Here is a 16,314-nt window from a genome sequence, read left to right on the forward strand (position 1 = left end):
GCCTCCCAAAGTGCTGGGATTATAGGCGTGAGCTACCGCACCCGGCCTATTATTGATCTTATACTACCTCTCTGTTACTAGATCCTCCCAAAGTGTTTTGAACTCTTTTCCATAGCTTTACTTTTCCAAAATAGCTTTTTAAATAGAGTATACAGTGTCTAGATCCTGAAAATAGAGTATACAGTGTCTAGATCCTGACTGTTTGAGATAGTTGATGTATAAAGGCATTTACAATTATAAGTTACTAATGTCATACAAATTGGCGTATTTTGTTTGAAGTGCATATATCCATTTGTAGTCAAAGGAAGGTAGACTTTGGGCTGCTTACAATTTGAAAGCCTGTTACCTTTTTAAAAAATGAAATCTGGTGGGCCGTGGTGGCTCACACCTGTAATCCCAGCACTTTGGGAGGCCAAGGTGGGAGGGTCATCTGAGGTCAGGAGTTCAAGACCAGCCTGTCCAACATAGCGAAATCTTTTCTCTACTAAAAATACAAAAATTAGCCAGGCTTGGTGGCACGCGGCTGTAGTGCTAACTACTGGGAGGCTGAGCGGGGAAAATCACTTGAACCTTGTAGGTGGAGGTTGCAGTGAGCCAAGATCATGTCACTGCACTCCAGCCTGGGTAACAGAGTAAGACTCCATCTCAGGGAAAAAAAAAATGAAATTCGTAAATTGTGACTTGTATAGTTTTGTTGTATATGAACCTGTCCCAATAATCTGGCTTTGTCAAATCTTGAAAGAACATTTTTATGCTTTCTTTAAAAACAATGTTGAAATTCCTTGTATGCTGTAAATTGGGTCTCTTTAAATTCATTAGAGCTCTTAAGTTTATTCAAAGCAAGGTCATTTCTACTGGATGACTTTTTGCACTCACAAGTAGTTTTCCTTTTTAAAATATTTGACCACAATTTATCCATATAAGTTGGTTTGTCTGCCCTGAGTGCTGAGATACGAAAATGATTATTATGCATATTAAAAGAATAGGATTGTCCAAGAAGAGATCTTAGGGATGGGCCTTTGGTGCCTGGATTAAGGGGACTTTTAAAGTGTTTACTGTTGTTGCCAGGCACCATGGCTCACACCTGTAATCCCAGCACTTTGGGAGGCCAAAGCGGGTGGATCACCTGAGGTCAACCTGACCAACATGACAAAAACCCATCCTAAAAAAAAGTTAGCTCGGCATGGTGGCATGCACTCGTAGTCTGAGCTACTAGGGAAGCTGAGACAAGAGAATCGCTTGAACCTGGCGGGGTGGAGGTTGCAGTAAGCTGAGATTGCGCCGTTGCACTCCAGCCTGGGTGACAGAGTGAGACTTCATCTCAAAAAAAGTGTTCACTCTTGAATTAGATGTACTTGAATTAATCTCTGTCACCATTTATTTTTGGCAATATGAAATATATATAAAGTATTGCAATAAAAGTTTGAGCCAGAATACCTAAATTTATGCATCCGATAATTTATCCTTTTCAAAGTAGACCTATTAGGATTTGAAGTCCACAAATCATCTTGGAAACAGTTTTTGAAGCATAACAGGATTTTTTCACTTTCTTCAAGGATGACAGAGTATCTTCTGAGAATAAGTTTAATGTTTTACAACACTCAATCATTTGGAGCTAAAATTGGCAAAAATGTGGTTGATCAAACTGAGTAACTTTTTAAATGAGAGATAAGGGGTAACTATTAAAAAGATTATTTTCTTTGTCCAGCCTTTAAACTGTCCATAAAGACCATTCTAAAAGATAGTATTAATAGCTTTCTGAGGTGATTATTTTTAAAGATACCACTTAGTTAGATAACATATTCTAGAAAGATTGTCAGATTTGTTAACTTTGTAGATACTTCTCCTTTTTCTGTTCTAACAGAAACTTTAAGTTATTTTCACCTAGAATAATAAATACATGTGATCTATTTTATTCCTCTCGTATTAGACTATATATACTTTTTAATCCTGTTTTTTAAACTGAGGCTTCTGTATGATGAAACAGTCTAAAACTTGACAAGAAATTTTTTCACTCTGAAGTCTTAGGGGTGACAACTAGATTATAAAAATAACTCCATGTGAACGGATTTGTGTATGTGCTGTTGTCACATGTTGATACATGTATATTTCTTGTTTTCTGGTTAGATTTATTCTCCTGACCATACCAGCAGTAGTTTTCCGTCAAATCCATCAACACCAGTTGGATCACCTTCACCTCTCACAGGTAGGCTTCTGTTTTATCTACTTCTAACTGGTGGGACTACTTGGAAATATTTCTAGTTCATTTATTTCTCAACAAACTTTAATAAAAATTTGTGAAAAATCATTTAGATTTTGACTATAAGAAAGTGTGTAAAGAGAGCCTTCCTCTTGAATTCATTTTGGAGAATATTGAAATATTTGCTAGTTTTGAGTTATTTATTAATATCTTCCCTGATTCTTAATGTAATTTGTGATCATTTCTAAGAACAGTAGTTACAACAGGATAAAAATAAGACCAGGCAATTGGAATGAAGATAAAATATGGAGAAAGAATGAAATCAAAAGTTTTTCTAAAGTTATTTTTTTTAGAGACAGGGTCTTACTCTGTTGCCCTGGCTGGAGTATAGTGGTATGGTCTTGGCCCACTGCAGCCTCCAACTCCTGGGCTCAAATGATCCTTCCACCTCAGCCTCCTGAGTAACTGGGAATACAGGTGTATGCCACCGTGCCAAGCTAATTTTTTTACTTTTTGTAGAGACTGGGTCTCATTATGTTGCCCAGCCTAGTCTTGAACACCTGAGCTCAAGCAATCCTCCCACCTTGGCCCCCCAAAATGCTGGGATTACAGGTGTCAGCCGCCATACCTACCCCCCAAAAAATGGTTTTTATAAGATAGCATGTAAAATAAACAAGATTAATCTATTTAAAAGTACATGTAACTTCCTCCTTGTTCTCCACACTTGTCATGTACTACGGGTAAGATTCAAAGATGAATAACTATTTCTGCTAGATAGTCTGTTTTTATTTTTAGGTCAACTAAGTTATTTCCCATAGATAAAAAAATTCTTGGGAATGATGTGGTTTTTCTGCCGAGGAAAAAAACTCTCTGTGAAGGTGGATGAATATTGTTAGTGGAGATAAGTGGTTCACATTTGTTTTTGTTTTGTTTGAGATGGAGTCTCACTCTGTTGCCCAGGCTGGAGTGCAGTGGCATAATCTCGGCTTACTGCCACCTCCACCTCCTGGGCTCAAGGGATTCTCCTGCCTCAGCTTCCCGAGTAGCTGGGATTACAGGCGTCTGCCACCACACCCGGCTAATTTTTGTATTTTTTTGTAGAGATGGAGTTTCACCATGTTGGCCAGGCATGTCTTGAACTCGTGACTTCAAGTGATCCACCTGCTTCATCCTTCTCCCAAAGTGCTGGGATTACAGGCGTGACCCACTGCGCCCGGCCCACATGTTTTTTTTTTCTTAATATTTTTTATGTTAGTTTAGACAAGTTCTAAATACTATCCTACAGTATAAATTTGTGGAGACATGATTGATGTTATTGTAAACGGGATTTTTTTTATTTCTTAGGAATAAATATAAGTATATAAAAATGTTTAATATCTTTTAAGCTATAATTTTAAAACTCGAACTATATTTTTCTGAGCAGTGTTTGGAGAAAAGCCTTGCTGAAGAAAAAATATGTTAGATTGTTTTGAGGAAAAGGCATTTGGCAACTGGGTAAAGTTACCATATTCCTCCAACAACAGTTGGGGAAATAATTCTGTTTTCCTAATCAAGCCATTAGTTAAGTCCATGCAGTTTTGTGTTTTGTTGTTGTTGTTAAGCCTTTTTGCACTGTGGCCCTGGCCATCACCTATGCTTTGTGTATTAGCCTTGTGGCTCTACTAAGAAGCATTCCGGTTTGGGGATGATGAACTGCTGGCAGCTGCTTTCAGCTATTAGCAGGTTCTGCCACTCTCTCAGACACCAGGGCTTCAGCTGTCTAGTAAAAGTTAAACAGCTGTTCCCCACATAGACAAGACTATGAAAGACCCATTGACTTAAAGATGTTGTTTAGCAGAGCTGAAATTACAGGAAGAATGATGTAACTCTAACCCTACTCACCCTCTTTGCACAGTTCTACTAAAATTATCAATGTCATTTTTGCTACAGCTTGTTTCACTTTCTCATCCGAGGTTTCCATATCAGCATTCCCACTACCTCGCCTTGTCTGTGTAGTAAGATAGCTGCCAAAGTATCCTTTGGTTTTAATGAACACTGAGTAGGAAGGCAGGCCATGGCAGAGCTCAGCATCTATGAAGGGTCATCAATGAAATGCAGAATCCAAGATTTAGACATTTTCCAAAAAACTAGTGGTCACAAGTAAAATCTTACATTTCCTCCTTCATCTTTATTTGATATTTAATGGGCGATGCTGTCTTTTTCTCTTTAATTCAGGTTGTTAATGAAAATCTGGGCTGTTGAATTATGTAATGAAGCCTTCTTTTTAATTCAGCAGTCATAATCAAAGAAAAATACTTTCACATACTTGTGTTGAAACAGCAAATCAAAGACTGATTTTAGGCAGGTGCATCTCTCCTGGCTCCTGTGTCTTGGTTCTTATCTACACACACACACCCTTACCCACCCATAGCAGGGCAGAGATGAGATAGAAAGAAGAAAGGAAAGCACTGTGTGATAAAATATTCACTGTCAAAGGGAAAAAAAAAGGAAAAGAACAGAGCAAACCAGAGCTCCTATATAAATATGTGGACATTATTTTGCATCTTGTGTGGCAATGGCCTGTTATCTAGAGTAAAAAAATTCTACCCACTCTGTGAGTAGAATTGTCCACACTTGCCCTATTCCTTATGTTTTTGAGCATCAGTTAGACTTAGCACAGGTCTTTTAAAGATAGATACACAGGTGCAGAGCCACATAAGCAGCTTCTAAGGCCATCATTCTTTAAATCCCCAGTGTTTTCCTTGGGAACTTTTCAGGTCAAGAGCATACATTTCTACATAGAGAGTGCTTAGAAGGAAGGTTCTGAGATATTGTATCAGTTAGGATGCTTTAGGCTAAAATGAGGAGAAACTCTTGTCTCAGCTAGTCTGAACAGTAAGAGGATTTATTATCTTGTGTTGTGAGGTCCTGGCCCCCTATGTCAGGGCTCCTGCTCTACTTTGCAGTTCTTCCTCAGGCTGGTAGCAAGACAGCAGTTCAGGGTACTACATGCAGACATATCTCCAGTAGATGAAAAAAGACCGTCTCTCTTTTTTTTTTTAAAGTTAAAAATTCCCTATTTTTTTATTCCCAGTACCACTACCACAGTTTACAGGGCAATATACCTGATGTAGTGAAAAGAAAAAGACGAAGCTACAACAGATGAAAGACCTCAGGAATATACATCTTACTGACACTACATTGCATTAGTCAGTAGCTGCACTTTTTGCAAACTGGCTCTGACAGTCCTGAACAAGAATGGTTTCCTGTTTCAGCTGCAGTAACTTTTCTGACTATGGATCATTGTTCCTTCTGTGGCAGATTTTTACAGTTCCTCTAATGCCTTTCGGACAACTGTCTCAAAGTAACCTACAGCTTTCCTGACAACTCCTCGTTCTCTCTCCTGCTAAGAACTGTAGCCCTTTTCTGCTGTTTTTAGAACCTTCTGCTACCATATCCACCACTTTCACCACCATGGGGAATGCCTGAGCTTCTTCCACCAAAAGTGCCCCCTTTCATGGGTTCATAGTTTGATTGCTGTTGTTCACTATAATTTCCGAACTCATTATAGTTCCCACCACCACCGTAGTTACCACCGCCAAAATTTCCTCCTTCACTCCACCGTCACTCCACCACCACCACCATATCCTTGGTCCATCACCATCATAGCCCCCTCTACTACTGTAACCAGGACTACCACCATAGTTGCCACCATCACCTCCAAAACCATTATATCCGCCATCACCTCCTCCATAACTACCTCTGCTGCCACCACCTTCACCACCATAGCCTCCTCTTCCATCAGAGTTTCCACCACAGCCAAAACTACCTCTACCACCTCCAAAGTTTCCTCCATAATAAAATTGCCAGATCTACCTCTGTGACCTCTGTCATCCAGCAGACTACATCTCTTGTTTAGAAAGGGCCTTTTTTACTTCACAGTTATGCCCATTAATAGTGTGGCATTTCTGAACAACAATTTTATCAACTGTATCATGATCATCAAAAGTTATAAAAGCAAATCCTGTCTTTTTTCCACTCTGCCTGTCTTCCATAACTTCTGCGGTTTCAATCTTGCCATACTTTTCAAAGTAGTCTCTTAAATTATATTCTTCTGTTTCTTCTTTAATACCACCAACAAAAATTTTCCTCACTGTTAGATGGGCACCAGACTTTACAGAATCCTCTATAGAAAGAGCTCTCTTTGGTTCCACTACACACCTGTCAGCCTTGTGTGGTCTAGCACACCTTGCTGCCTCCACCTCTTCAACACAAGAGTAAGTCACAAAACCAAAGCCCCTGGAACGTGTTTTTTGGGGTCTCATTACCACACAATCTGTGAGTGTGCCCCATTTCTCAAAATGTCTCTTAAACTATCATCTGTAGTTTCAAAGCTCAGACCACCAGTAAAAAGTTTTTGCAAAAGCTCTGGTTCCTTTGAATCATGGCCCTTCTCCCCCACCACCCCACCCCCACAGTGGTGGCAACGGCTGCAGTTGGGCAGCGGTTTTACCTCCATTTTGAGACCAGACAACTGGACTCATGTCTTCCAACTCAAGTTCAGTATCCCATCTCTTTCTTTTGAGAGTCTTTTAAAAATTATTTTAAGGATCCTTTTCCAGAAGCCTCTTAAACAGATTTCCCCTTACGTCTTATTGGCCAGCACTGGGCCTAATGCAGTTGCTTGCAAGAGAAATGGTGCCACCATGTTTATCTTAGCATCTGGATTTGTCCCTGGGGCTAAGAATAGAATTGCTCTCTCCTGGTTCCTATTAGGAAAGGACAGACCCACCTCCCACACCCCTTGTGAACAAAATCAGTGCTCTGGCCACAAGATAGAAGAGAGGAATGGCTTTGTTTACTACAGTTGTTATTTAGGAAAAGATGAGCATTTGCAGTAAGAGAATAAGTTTACTAAGGGAGCTTGGAAGGCAAACAAGCAAAGTCATCCTTTGCCTTTCATTACCTCCTTCTGGAATATAAATGAATAAAAGTTCAATAATTGTAGTACTCAGTAGTAATCTTCAGAGCTTTCACAGAAAAAAATAATAAGGAGAGAAAGAGAAATTCTCAGTTTCAGCTAATCAATGAGCTACTTATTTTTATTACCTGTCAGATTGCCTGGTGTTAAGTCAGTTACCTGACTTCAGCATGCTTTAACAAAGTGCGTTACACTGGAACGGGCCAGTCTGTAATACAAACAAAATAAGTTTAAGTGTATGTATATTTTTTTCCAGTTTAATGAATTACACATTGAAGATAGACCTTTGTACAGTTTTTTTAATAGCACCAAAAATTATGTAGATGATTACCCAGGTAATTCAGTGTGCACATCTTGATTCCTCAATATTAAGCTAATGAACAATCTCAAAAACAGCCTGTTTTGCAAAAGCAGATGCATGCTGACAATTCTGAGGCATTTGAACGTAAAACGTGTTAATATTGCACACAAAGTCAGTAATTTGATGATCAGGCTTCTGTTACGGGGGGGCTTACAGAAGGAGTAGAAAAAATGATTGAAAAGTAAAATATTACCAACATTAAGATAAATTCTTTTTTAATAATTAAAGGTATTTTTCAAAATCGATTATGATTAACCTGGTCACCTAAAATTCATAATTCTGCATCAGTGCTTAGAAAGCAGTAATGCACTGAAATCAGCAGTAAGGTGTTGGCTAGTTGTTTTTATATATTTTTCATATAGTCAGTTATTGAGATTTTCTGGTTGATTAATTCTGCCTTTTAATTATAAAATTAGCCCACAAGCTTTTGTTTCAATGAGCAATTTTAGATTGTCCATAATTTGTAGTTGATTTATGATTACATTTGTATGTCTAGCAGGAAGCCTTTAATGGTCCTTAAAATAATTTGTTTATAATTTGCTCATAAGTAAAAAAAAAAAAATTAACTGAAGTGCATATTTTTTCTCACAATTTTAGTATTTAAAGTATATTTATGTAATTATAACAGTATGCATATAATTGTGAAATCTAATCAGGTTATGAAGAATCTGTATCCAACTTTTCAACTTGCAAAATGTGTATAATTGATGAATACACTTACTACATTGTTTCATAATTAAATAGTCTTGTTCAGCTAAAATGAACTATAATAGTTCTAATTTACCTCAAGTTTTTCTAAGATAGCAAATAAATTGTAGTGTCACATTAGCTTCCTAAGTAAGGCAAATTGACCTGCAATAAAAGGTTCTAGTGTGAGACAAATTAAACCTTCAACTTCCAACTTCGATTTCTAATATAATTCAAATTGTCACTGAAGCTTTTATTAAGAATAAAAATATATTTAGTCTTTATTATTTTCTGTAAATGACTTATTTTCAGATGCACAATCGTGAAATAATGAAGATTTTGATCAGTTGTTTTTGTCTTTTTCCTTTGAAAGGTATTTTCGCAAGACCATTAAAACATTGCCTTCTCTCTAACATATGGATGAATTATTTTTTTATGCTTCTTTTTTTTCATTCTTTATACTCTGAACTTGTATCTTTTCTTTTTCTATCTTTATTTTTTAAATTAGATTTATACCTTTCTAACATCAAAGGCTAAACAACATCTAACAAGTTTTTATAACATTTTCCTAATTAATGTATTTGGTATAAACTATTTTGGGAAATTTTTTAATAGATGACCCCAAGATCATTTACAGTCATGGGAAATTCATTCATCTGTGTATTGCTAAAGGCACTGTCAGTTACTATTACCCCTTAGTAAGGCAATTTGTCCTTACGTTAATATATTTATACCCTTTGATTCAGAAATGCTACTTATCCTCAAAACATCCTTCCCCCTGGGGGAAAAAAACTCAAGAGTAATGTTTACTATATCACTGTTCATAATAGCCGAGTGGTAACAACCAAAATGTCTAGCAGTGAAATAATAGTGGCTAAGCAAATTAGGTGTAGAAGCCAGGCAAAATGGCTGGCACCTGTAATTCCACCACTTTGTGAGGCTGAGGCGGGTGGATCACTTAAGGTCAGGAGTTCGAGACCAGCCTGGCCAACGTAGTGAAACGTTGTCTCTACTGCAAATACAAAAATTAGCTTGGCGTGGTGGTGTGTGCCTGTAATCCCAGCTACTTGGGAGGCTGAGGCAGGAGAATCGCTTGAACCTGGGAGGTAGAGGTTGCAGTGAGTCAAGATTGTACCAGTGCACTCCAGCCCAGGTAACAGAGCAAGATGCCATCTCAAAAAAAAAAGAAAAAAAATTAGCCAACGTGGTGGCACACACTTGTGATCCCAGCTACTCGGGAGGCAGAGGCAGGAGAATCGCTTGAACTCAGGAGGTGGAGGTTGCAGTGAGCCAAGATCGTGCCACTGCGCTCCAGCCTGGGCGACAGTGAGACTCCATCTCAAAAAAAAAAAAGAAAAAGAAGAAACAAAACCAAAAAAACAGACTAGGTGTAGAGAATAAGGGAAATAATAATGTAGTCATTAATAGTATTATCAAAATTTCTGTACAATGCTATAGGAAGGGGGACAGAATTTTAAAAGTGTGTACGTTATAAGTGCATTTTCTCAAGATACATAGGCATGTGGACTAAGTCTAAAGAATGTGCAAACATAAAGGTAGCTGTATTTAAAATTACAGGGTTTTTTTTCTGTTTTCTCAGCACCCCATTTTTTTTATTAATAATGAAAGATTTTTTAAAATGTGTTGGGCTTATAAGTAGCCAATACTATGCTGAAGGCCAAACAAAAATATTCATGTAAATTTATTTAGTTATTGAGTATCTTTACCCTTTCCTTCACAACATTATCAAGATCACTGAGTTAACCCAGGTGTGTGGCTACTTTTGGGTTTTAACAGGTACCAGTCAGTGGCCAAGACCTGGAGGGCAAGCACCTTCATCCCCAAGCTATGAAAACTCACTCCACTCCCTGGTAAGAGCCTCTTATACATCAGTTTTATCTGATAGCTTAGAGTTTGTTTGTTTTTGGTCAATCTGGCATAACAATAAAGAAACAGTAGGCTAGCATTGCACATGAATTCTTTGCTAACAAATGGCTGATTCATTTGAACAATATAAGACACATTGGGTATGCCTTTTGCCATCTGTTCTTTGGGACATCAGGCTTCTGGTGTCAGGACAGCTGATGTTAAAATTGTGTTATGAGGGTTTTTGTTTCTTTGACAAATCTAGGGCTTAATCTTTCTATGCTTCTATGTCTACATATAAAGGGAAACTTTTTTTAAAAAGACAAGTAAAAGCAAGAAAATTTAATCCAGCAATGCAAAATTTTACCCTTTTGTATTTTACACTTTCTCATAATACTGTGTGTGGTTTATTACATTTCCATTAAAAATTTTAAGTGAATACCAGTGTTTTTTGTCATGAAAGTATTATTTCCCATGTTTTCTTATGGAAAAAAAAGTATATTGTGCAAATTATACAAGCAAAACATTATTTAACAAGGCAGTAAAGGAACCTTCTAGATATTTGAGCGTGAAGAATTTGTGGGAGAATGTTGACTACTGTTGCTTTTGTATACTTATATTTGTAACCCAGAATTACACGGTATAATAAAAACACAATAAAGATGATTTGATGGAATGCTAAGTCATGCTCTTATTCGTAATTCCAGGTTGCAAAGAGAAACATTCTTTTTCTGTGACTAACAAAACATTTTAAATTGAAGGAACGTTTGCTTCTCATATATTTTGCAAGCAATTATAAGCAATGTGTGCTGTTTAGATGCTAACCTTGTAACTTCCCTGTTGAATCCCAGCCTTTTCATATCTTAATAAAATAGATCTCGCAAGTCTTGGCGTTAACTTTACTAACATGTTATGCTGACATGCATATCAGCTATTTCCTCATCTCTTTTGGAGTTAATCTTAACCTGTGCTTTGCCTCCTGTTCTGTCTTGACTTTGCCAGAAAAATCGAGTTGAGCAGCAACTTCACGAGCATTTGCAAGATGCAATGTCCTTCTTAAAGGATGTCTGTGAGGTACTATTTCTTTTAGATGGTGCCTTTTTTGTGTTTCAATTAATTATACTTCCCACTATTCATTTAAAATCTTTAAGCTGTACAGACTCCCATCTTTAAAAATCAAACAGTTGACTGTTTCAGTTTTTATCACAGTATATAGGAATAATTTTGTCTCTTATGTTGTTGAAAGTGATCCTTTTTAAAACAGCTCTACTGGCATGTGCTTTTGATTTTTTTAATTCTAATATGTTTGTGTATGGGGCATGTGTGTATCCACAGACAGACAATACCATTTATTTAGTTTTGTCAAAGAACATATCTGGATATGTTCACCATATAAGTTACATGTGCTTTATATACTTAAGACAAAATTAAAACTTAAACTTACTGGATTTGAGGTCCCTTCCCCAAATTGCCATCATTCAAAGATCAGTATTAAAGTATAGGTTGTACTTTTTTTTTTTTTTTTTTTTTGGCAGCTCTTATTGAGAAATGACATAGTATCCTTCATTTTTTGTAGAAGCTAAAAGAAATAACCTCATGGTAGTTTGGTAAATTCGTTTTATAAAGCAGTGATTTGTTTCTGAAGCTTTGAAAATTTAGCATAATCTACATACATACAGCCTTTTTTTGTTGTTGATTTATAGTTCAGGTGGTTGCTTTTGAAGCTACTTGATACTGCATTTCACTTGCTATCTTCCACATATCACATAGTAGGAAACGTAGCAGTTAATGAATCTAACAGATGCCAGCAATAACCACCATGTTTTTTTTTTAATCCATACAGCAGTCTCGAATGGAGGATCGTTTAGACAGACTGGATGATGCAATCCATGTGCTGCGGAACCATGCTGTGGGACCTTCCACCAGTTTGCCTGCTGGTCACAGTGATATACATAGTTTATTGGGACCATCCCATAATGCACCAATTGGAAGCCTCAATTCAAACTATGGAGGATCAAGCCTTGTTGCAAGCAGTCGATCAGCTTCAATGGTAAAATCATGCTCATCTTTTTTGTAGTAAACCCTAAAGATTCTTGTCCTAAATGTCTTTAATGAAATCTTTGGGAAGAGGATCTTTCTGAAAGGAAGGCAAAGACTGACTTTTCAGAATTTTCTTTACTGTCTTTGGCAGTAAAGTATTGGCTAAGTATTAGTCCATAAAATCTTCTTGTGACCTTGTGCAAAAAGCATAAGCTTTCTACAGAGATCATTTTTAGCTAAAACTTGGATTTTTTTCCAGATGTGTAATAATTGGCACAGCAGTTTTTGCCTTGAAATAGTGCATAAGAAATCTGAATAGCAAGAGTTCTGATCTAGAAAAGTTGTTTATTGTAATTTAGAACCAGCCTTCAGTGGTAGAAAGAATGTGAAACTGTAATTTATACAGATCCAAATTTAAACTTTATTCCCGAACTGCGGGGGAGGTAGTTTTAAGAATGGCTGTAATTTCAGTAATAAATAAAGGAAACAATTTTAGATTAATCCACAAAGAGAATTTTTAAGAACTCAGTCCATCTTTTAAAAAAGTATGATAATTTTTAAAGGGGGTGTTCGTTCTACAGCCATACACATCAAAAATTCTGTGTTTACCATCTTACATTATTTTTTATCCAAATTATCTTTTAAAGAAATGAAGTTCTTTTTGAACCTGCTATTTTAAACTTATACCATGTGTTGGCATGTTTATGGCATGGTTTTTAAGGTTCATTGCATGCTGTGAAATGTTCTTCTACGAAGCAGATTTTTAGCTATAAGCCATGTGATGAAGGCTAAAAACTTACCTATCATCAAAATAATTAATTGCCCTAAATGCTGAAGGCTTGTATTCTGTAAGATAGGGTTGGTTCCAGATTTTCACACTCACATATCTTACACATACATACACTCATTTTTGAGCCTCTGAAGTAAACGTCACACAAGGCTGCTTGTTTTCTGAGAACTGTATTTTCAGCAGCATGGGTAACATTAGATACCTGTTTTGTGTTTGTTTTTTTAATGTCAGGAAATCTTGAAAATCAGTCTCCTTTTAAAGTACTTTTTATTGCTATTGATAAGCTAATAAGTGTCAAAACATATGTAAGTTATTAAACTAGTAAAATGGGGAAGTGTCAGATGGCTCACACCTGTAATCTCAGCACTTTGGGAGGCCAAGGCGGGAGGATTGGTTGGAGTTCCAAGACTAGTCTGGGCAACAAAGTGAGACCCTCATCTCTACAAAAAATAAAAAAAAATTAGTCTGGCACAGTGGCATGCGCCTGTGGTCCCAGCTACATGGAAGGTTTAGGTGGGAGGATCTCTTGATCCCAGGAGGTCAAGGCTGCAGTGAGCCATGTTCATGCTACTGCACTCCAGCCTAGGCCATAGAGCATGACCCTGTCTCAAAAAAAAAAAAAAAAAAAAGAAAGAAAGAAAAAAATATGAGAGGGTATTGTTATCACTGCTGGTAATAGTAATGAAATAATTTTAATGGTATAATAAAAGGAATTTGTTACAAATGTGAATGCAGAATAACTTAATAATTTGTTGAAATACTATTTATCCTTATTTAGAAGCATGACTTAAAAATCAATATTCTTGAATTTTAAGTTAGTCTCAGCAGCAACATTTGCAGTTCTTATTCCTTACCTCTTAATGATTTTTTAATTCTTCACTTTTACTAGCTTACTGCTCCTATTCCAACTTATCAGCTACAGTATTTATTATATATCTGGCTCCTCCCAGTTGGAGTTTGCATAAAATGGAACTTCTGTCTTGAGAAAGTTGTTTTTTTACCAATTTCAGATATTCCATAATAGAAAGGGAGACTTATCAAAATGTAGTCCTCCAAAGCCACCTAGAAACCTAGTGCATTTTAGAAGACTGTTAGAGGGAAAAACTCTTTCATTGGATGGCACCCTAAAACTTATAACTAAGAAAGTAGCTCCTACTATATGCTGAAGGAATGCACTGCCCACTTCAGAACAACAACAGAAGGTCTGCCAGAGGTATTTTTTTGTTGTTGTTTTTTGTTTTGTTTTGCTTTTAGAGATGGAGTCTCACTCTGTGGCCCAGGCTGGAGTGCAGTGCCGTGATCTCGGCTCACTGCAATCTCTGCCTCCCAGATTTAAGCAATTCTCCTGCCTCAGCCTCCCGAATAGCTGGGATTATAGGCACCCGCCACCACGTCCGGCTAATTTTTCTGTTTTTAGTAGAGATGGGGTTTCACCATATTGGCCAGGCTGGTCTCAAACTCCTGACCTTGTGATCCGCCCACCTCGGCCTCCCAAAGTGCTGGGATTACAGGTGTGAGCCACTGCACCCGGCCAGAGATATTCGTAAAAAGAAAAAAAAAATCTCAAATTAGTCTAGAAAAAATGGTCTTCTGAGACATGAAGTGAGTCTGGCTTAGTCTGAGCTGCAACATTAGTGCCACAGCAACTAGCCCAAGCTGTTGTTCAGTGTGTCTGTCACAGCCTTCTCTTCAGTCCTTATCACCTTCTCAGCGGGTACAGAGCTGTGGAAAATCTGCCAGAAATCATCTGCTATCTTCATCTCATCCAGACACAATCACTAGTACTTTTAGTAGTGGAGATAAGATGTATCTGGCAGGCTTAGCCTCAAAATATAAAGTTACTAGCTGACAAAATCTGACACTGTTAGGTGAGTCAGTATTCATCTCCTGTCCTTCTGAAGTAAGCCTTTTAGCTGTTGAGTCCTCAGTTCTCAGCTTCAGCAAAAAGACCAAAGGATGGAATGAAATGAAGATTAGTCTGCCACTGACTATCCCCGCAGAGTCTTAGGCATGTTATTGAGGAAGACTGTCTTATCGTGGTGGTTCTTTTCCGTGTCTGAGGGCTTCCATTAGTACTGCTGGGATCACTTTATTTACATGCTCAGCACCCACCTATATGGAATCAACTCTTCATATTCTTTCAGAGTGTGTGATTTTGGGGGCATGTTTTTGTAACTCTTGCCAACTGGCTCCAAGAGTTAATCTCCAGCTTTTATTGTCCCCTTGTCACAACAATACATCCTCCTAACTAATCATGACTAAGAAATAATGTGGTTTTACATTCTGGAATCGATTCCCCACCCCCACCCCCACCCCGCCCCACCTTGTTTTTGGTCTCTTATAACTTTCCAGAAGTTTGTCGATTTTTTCCGGAATTAACATAAGTTAGTATTTGTTTTGGGCTCCTAATAATGGAGGCTATATGGCCAGACTTACAAAGTGATCACAGAAATACTTGTTGATCAGCAATTTGGTACCACCATATAGAATTCATGAGGTCAGCTTCTTTCAAAGACATTTGCCTTTCATTATTCCATTTGTTTATTGCAGAGAATAGAAGTATTCTGATAAACGTAGATATTTTCAGGACCTCCACAGAGCATTCAGATGACATTTTTGTTATAATGGAACTTTATCCTAATGGGCAGCATCCTAATTGTAGGGTTTAAATATATCACTCTTCCTCCTAGCATTTAGAAAAGGGTTTGATATGCTTTTTCTATAAAGGGCCAGAGAGTAAATATTTTCAGCTTTGTAGGCTGTATAGTCTCTGTCACAACTACTTAACTCTGACAATGTAATGTGAAAGCAGCTATAGATAATATGAAAACAGATGGGCACGGCTGTATTCCAATAAAACTTTATTTACAAAAACAAGCTCCTTTATTTACAAAAACATAGGTCAAGATTTGGCTACAGGCCAGACCTTGGGAATTCCTGCTTATAAATTGGCACCTAAGCAGATATAATGGGGTTAGCATGTTTTTCTTTTTCTTGGAGCCTATAACGTTTGGCTTATGTTAATGAGTAGTTTGAGAGTTTTATTGAAGTAATTGGAATACTTGAGGCAAGCCAGGATCCACTGGTAGTGGAAGAGTAAGAGTTGATGGCAGGATAAAAGTGGTACAGGCCAGGCATGGTGTTTCACACCTGTAATCTCAGCACTTTGGGAGGCCATTCTCGATGGATTGCTAGAAGCAGGAGTTTGAAACCAACCTGGACAACAAAGTAAGAACCTGTATCTACAAAAAAAAAATTTTTAATTAACTGGGCATGGTGGCATACACCAGTGGTCCCAGCTACTCAGGAGGCTGAGGCAGGAGGATTGCTGGAGCTCAGAAGTTTGAGGCTGCAGTGAGCCATGATCATGCCACTGCAGTTGAGCCTGGACAACAGAGTGAGACCCTGTC

The 16,314-nt window shown here is 37.6% G+C and overlaps 1 protein-coding gene and 1 pseudogene across 34 annotated transcripts in view; one reads left to right on the forward strand and one right to left on the reverse strand.

The window, feature by feature from the left end:
• The window catches only part of TCF12 (transcription factor 12), a 373,221-nt gene that overhangs the window by 323,255 nt on the left and 33,652 nt on the right, over positions 1-16,314 (forward strand). For 18 of the 34 annotated variants that reach the window (XM_047432971.1, XM_047432972.1, NM_001322157.3 and 15 more), the window contains 3 exons: positions 2,128-2,206; positions 10,006-10,079; positions 11,918-12,124. In XM_047432971.1, the coding sequence (XP_047288927.1) occupies positions 2,128-2,206; positions 10,006-10,079; positions 11,918-12,124 (360 nt within the window). Of the gene's footprint in view, positions 1-2,127; positions 2,207-10,005; positions 10,080-11,076; positions 11,149-11,917; positions 12,125-16,314 lie in introns of all 34 variants that reach the window. The other 16 variants (NM_001322151.2, XM_011521960.4, NM_001322159.3 and 13 more) reach the window with 2 other exon arrangements.
• On the reverse strand, positions 5,597-6,746 carry HNRNPA3P11 (heterogeneous nuclear ribonucleoprotein A3 pseudogene 11; annotated as a pseudogene).

This window comes from Homo sapiens, chromosome 15, assembly GCF_000001405.40.
Source record: "Homo sapiens chromosome 15, GRCh38.p14 Primary Assembly".
NCBI lineage: Eukaryota > Metazoa > Chordata > Mammalia > Primates > Hominidae > Homo > Homo sapiens.